The sequence below is a fragment of the Homo sapiens genome, chromosome 7 (genome assembly GCF_000001405.40).
Source record: "Homo sapiens chromosome 7, GRCh38.p14 Primary Assembly".
Taxonomy (NCBI): Eukaryota; Metazoa; Chordata; class Mammalia; order Primates; family Hominidae; genus Homo; species Homo sapiens.
This window is the reverse complement of record NC_000007.14, coordinates 145,346,025-145,352,024: the sequence shown is the minus strand read 5'-3', so window position 1 is coordinate 145,352,024 and position 6,000 is coordinate 145,346,025.

The window sequence follows — 6,000 nt, the reverse complement described above, 5'->3', positions numbered from 1 at the left end:
ATACCTTATTGGAAACCATTTCAGCAGGTAACATCAGTGGAAGTGATTTGTTAGTATTCATGATAAGGTTTAAAAGAAAAAAACAAAAAACAGCATGCCTTAATAAATCAATTACCAATTACCTTACATGGAAAGCTGCTCATTCATAATTTTGCCCACTGAAGAAACCAAGAATATATGGTGTGAACGTACAGTTACCAGCCTGGGAGGTCAGTGGTCTACTAGCTTTGCTGGGTAAGCCTTTGCCTCAGGCCAATGGGTGTGGAATTTGAGGATAATGGAACTTCTCTCATAGCCCTCCAACTCAGTTTTCATGAGGAGTTTACTCTGTGATGCTCACAGCCTTCACTCATTTAGTAATTCAGTTGCTCAAAAATGTTTCTTGAGAATTTGCTATGTGATAGGCACTGCACTGAGTACAGAAGATATAACATTGTTCAATACTTATTTAACTGACCTCAAAAAGCTTAATATTCAGCCCCACTGTTTTACATATGAAAGGCAAGACCATTCAACAGCTTGATATTTATGCAATATTTTGCATAAATATATTTTTTAATTTATCTGATTTTTCCAGGTGATAAAAGGCTCTTGGCACACAACGGTGAAAAAAAATTGTTCCTTCTCTCAGAATATCACAGAACCAAATGCAGGTAGGGAATTAAGGAAGGAACGATTAATCCTATGCAAGTTTATAAAGTAAAGAAATATTTATCTGAATTATTTGATTAATAGAGTAAATGTAGCCAGCAAAGAGAAGAAAACAACATACCAGGAAGAATAAACCAGGCACAGGATGGGAAAAATCATTGCGTTGTGCTCAGAAAATAAAAAAAAAATTTGCTATGAAAAAGGCATAGGGTGTCAGTTGGGAAACTGGAAATGAAAACTGGAAAGGCAAATTAGTTAAATACTTTTAAAGATCCAATATGCCAAGCTGAGGAGTTTGGAATATTAATTCTTACTAATCAGTCAGCAGAAAATTTAGGCATATGTGTGACATAATCAGATTCCATATTGTGAAAAATGACAGCTCAGAAAATGCACATGAGGAGAGAGAGGAGCAGAAACAATTAGGGAATTGCTGGAATAACAGAGCTGAAAAATACTCAAGAAGAAGGTTAAAGCAGTGGCAGTGAGGATGGGTGAAGAGAGGCAATTTAAAGGATGTGTTTTATGTAGAATTAAGAGGATTTTCTGACTGTAAAGGTTTTAATAGATGGTAAAAGAGAGAAAAAGGCAAATACTTGGACATTTCAAACTTAAGAGGCAGAATGGTGATATTATTTATCAAACAAGGCTACAGAAGAATGAAATTGAATAATTTTGGGCAGGTCATGTGTTAGGAGACTCCAGAACTCAAAGTTGTAAATGTTGGTTAGGCTGCGAAATGGATGAATATGTAGAGGAAATAGGAGTTGGGTTTGAAGATGTTGCCCCGTAAAATTATGCCACTGGTGGTGACACATATTTTTGAAAAAATATGTTGACTTAGCACAATTTTATAAACTGGCAATCATATGTTGGCCTACATGTTTTTCTTGATCTTAATTGCTTTTGAAATCCTAACATCTGGAACCATTGTATTACAAATATTTTGAACCAACTAGTCTGTAAGATGAGAGAGAAAATGGGCTCAAAATGAAGAACTACTTTTCCCCAATTCTCGGAGTAGGTTTTTGACATATCCTGATTGGAACCCAGCCCAGCTTCCCAGGTAAGAATTCTTTGCACTGTGAAGAACACATTCAATCATGTTCCCTACCAAAGGGTCAAAATCCTTATGTTAAGCTAGAAAACTATCCTACCAAAAAATTGTGGCTCAGGATACATGAAACACAAGAAGAAGAAGGAACATGTTGGATGATCTTGCAGTGGCATATATACCTGTACACGTGGATATTTATATTCACACACTCACATGTAATGCTAAAATAATTTTTCCATATCATAAAGTCTACTTCTTGGAAATATTGTGAATAGTAAGAAGAATAATGAGATATCACTCTTGAGAAGCAAAAACCAAATAACAAAACAGGATTGTAATGGTATTAAGGAGTGAGGGCAAATAGTAAATACAATGAAATCAAACAGAGCAAAATAAAGAAGAGACCTTGCATGAACCAATGTTAATTATGTGCTAATAAAAAGGAGTAAGATCAGCTAAACTCTATAACACCCAAACATAAATGCTTACACTTCAAATTAGTTTAACCATTGTGGAAGACAGTGTGGTGATTCCTCAATGATCTAGAACAAGAAATACCATTTGACCCAGCAATCCCATTACTGGGTATATACCCAAAGGATTATAAATCATTCTACTATAAAGACACATGCACACATATGTTTATTGAAGCACTTTTCACAATAGCAAAAACTTGGAACCAAGCCAAATGCCCATCAATGATAGACTGAATAAAGAAAATTTGGCACATATACACCATGGAATACTATGCAGCCATAAAAAGGATGAGTTCATGTCCTTTGCAGGGACATGGATGAAGCTGGAAATGTCATTCTCAGCAAACTAACACAGGAACAGAAAACCAAACACAACATATTCTCACTTGTAAGTGGGAGTTGAACAATGAGAATAGATGGACACAGGGAGGGGAACATCACACACTGGGGCCTGTCAGGGAGTGGGGCACTAGGGGAGGGATAGCATAAGGAGAAATACCTAATGTAAATGACGGGCTGATGGGTCCAGCAAACCACATGGCACGTGTATACCTATGTAACAAACCTGCACGTTCTGCACATGTATCCCAGAACTTAAAGTACAATTGAAAAATAATAATACTAAATACTTACACTTCATGCTTTTTATTTCTTGGATGTGTTAAAATAAAACTCAGTGTTGTTGAAAATATATTCACTTCATTCCAATTATTTCCTATCATCATATATTCTACTAAGACTCCACTTATTTTCAGGAAGAAAATAGCAGTCTCTATTATAGAGAAAAAGGGTTAAATGATGCAAGAAAGATTATCATAAAGATATATTGAATTTGTCTTAAATGGAATGTCTTGATAAAATAAAAATTCTATACAAATTTAGTTACCATTGTCTAATCCAGTCATCTTCAAAGTAAATTGCTGCAATTCAGAGAGTGCACAAGATGATTCCTTGTAAAATGAGAAAAATATATTAGCATTTTTAGTTACATTTATTTTTTCATTCTTATTTGTAAATGCACGTGGCTCAGGATACATGAAATACAAGAAAAAAAAAGAAGGAAAATGTTGGATGATATTTTAAAAGTTCGTGAAACACGAATACAGTTCAGTAATTTAGCCTCAAATATTATATCTAAGCTACAACCATTCAAATAAAAAAAAACAGAATGTTGGTCAGTGCTGTGAAGCCCTCTTCATGCCTCAAAACTATTTTTACATTTTGTGTTTATTACAAATGGTGTGGCATTTTTCACTATATCTTCTGACACTTGTTTGTGACAATGAGCCTCAAACTCCTGTGCTCAAGTGATCTTCCCACCCCAGCCTCCTGAGTAACCAGGACTACAGGCACACATCAACATGCCTAGCTATTTCTTTTCATTTTTTTGTGGCGACAGGGCCTCACTATGCTGCCCAGGCTAGTCCTGAATTCCTGGCCTCAAGAGATCCTCCCAACTCAGCCTCCTGATGTGCTGCAATTACAGGCATGAGCCACTGCGCCCAGCTGATTTTTATACTTTATCCTGAAATTTTGCTAAATTTATTTATTATTCTAGTTACTTCTTTATACTACTTACCATAGGATTTCTACATAGACAGTCATGTCACCTGCACATAAAGATGGTTTTACTTCTTTTCCAATCTGTATACTTTTTATTAGTTTTACTTGCTGTCTTCACTTGGGCTGCAGTGGCAAAGTACCATTCACTGGGTGGCTTATAAACAACCAACCAACCCAAATGCCCATCAGTGATAGACTGGATTAAGAAAATGTGGCACATATACACCATGGAATACTATGCAGCCATAAAAAATGATGAGTTCATGTCCTTTGTAGGGACATGGATGAAGCTGGAAACCATCATTCTCAGCAAACTATCACAGGGACAGAAAACCAAACACTGCATGTTCTCATTCATAGGTGAGAATTGAACAATGAGAACACTTGGACACAGGAAGGGGAACATCACACACCGGGGCCTGTCGTGGGGTAGAGGGAGGGGGAGGGATAGCATTAGGAGATATACCTAATGTGCATGACAAGTTAATGGGTGCAGCACACCAACATGGCACATGTATACATATGTAACAAACCTGCATGTTGTGCACATGTACCCTAGAACTTAAAGTATAATAATAACAAATAAATAAACAACCAAAATTTACTTCTCACAGTTCTGGTGGCTGGGTGTCTGAGATCAGGGCTCCATCATGGTCTGTCTCTGGCGATGGTCCTCTTGCAGGTTGCAGACTGCCAACTTCTTGTATTTCATGTGGCAGAAAGAGAGCTAGTGAGCTCTCTGGGGTCTCCTTAATAAGGGCAATAATCCCATTGATGAGGGCTTCACGCTCATGACGTAATCACTTCCCAAATGTCCCACCTCCTAATATCATCGCATTGGGATTAGGGTTTGGGCACATGAATTTGGGCACGGGGGAACGTTCAGGGCATTGCACTAGCCCCACTTGCATTGGCTGTAATGTCCAGTACAATGATGAACAGAAGTGGTGACAGTGGGTATGCTTGCCTTCTTCCTGATCTTTTGGGGAACGCATTCGGTCTTTCATTAGGTATGATGTTACCTATGGTTTTTTTCATAGATGTTCTTATTAGTTTGCAGAAGTTTCCTTCTATTCCTAATCTGCTCAGAATTTTCATTAGAAACTAATTTTGAATTTTGTCAAATGTTTTTCTGTATCTGTTAATAAAGTCATATTAATTTTCTTCTTTAGTCTGCTCATATTGTGAATGGCACTGATGGATTTTCAAGTGTTAAACCTGACTTAAGTTATTTATAGTGCAAAGTTTACACATTGTTGGATTTCACTTGCTAAAATGTTGGGGATTTTGGCATCCATGTTCATAAGAGACATTGGTCTGAGGTTTTCTTTTCTTGTGAAATCATTTGGCTGGTTTTGGTATCACATAATACTAGCATCATAAAATGAGTTGGGAAGCATTTCCTCCTCTATACTTGCTTGGACTTGTTATTATAGTTTCCATAAATGTTTGCTTGAATTCACCAGCATTCCATGAAGGGGAAGCAGAAAGAATCAGGCCTCCTGAGGCTTGTGCTCTGAAGATCACATACTGTCACTTCCCCCATATTATCTTCTTATAATATTTTAAATGTCTGTTTTTTTAATAGAATTTATTAGAGCAGTTTTAGCTACACAAGAAAATTGAGTGGAAAGTACATACCCCCTTACCCACACTCACAGCTTTCCCCACATTGAAGATCTTGCATCAGAGTGGCACATTTCTAACAATCAATGAATCTACACAGACACATCATTACCCAAATATTACATTAGGGTTCAATGCTGGCATTGTGTATACTTTGGGTTTTCACAAAGGCATGTGCCATTTATCCACTATGGGTGTATCGTACAGAATAGTATCACTGTCCTACAAATCCTCTGTGGCCGTGCTATTCATCTCTCCCCCCAACCAAACCCCTAACAACCCCTGATCTTTTCACTGAATCCATAGTTTTGACTTTTCCAGAATGTTATATATTTGGAATCCTACAATATGTATAGCCTCTTTAGATTGGCTTTTTCACTTAATAATATGCTTTTAAGTTTCTTCCATCTCTTTTTATGGAGATGGAGATTCTTTGTAGTGCTGAATAATATTCCATTTTCTGGATGTACCACAGTTTATTTATCCATTCATCTACTGAAGGATATCTTGGTTGTTTTCAAGTTTGGGCAATTATGATTCAAGCTGCTTTAAACATCCATGTGCAAGTTATTTTTTTTAAAATAAGTTTTCAATGGATTTAGGCAAAATTCAAAGCATATGATTTGT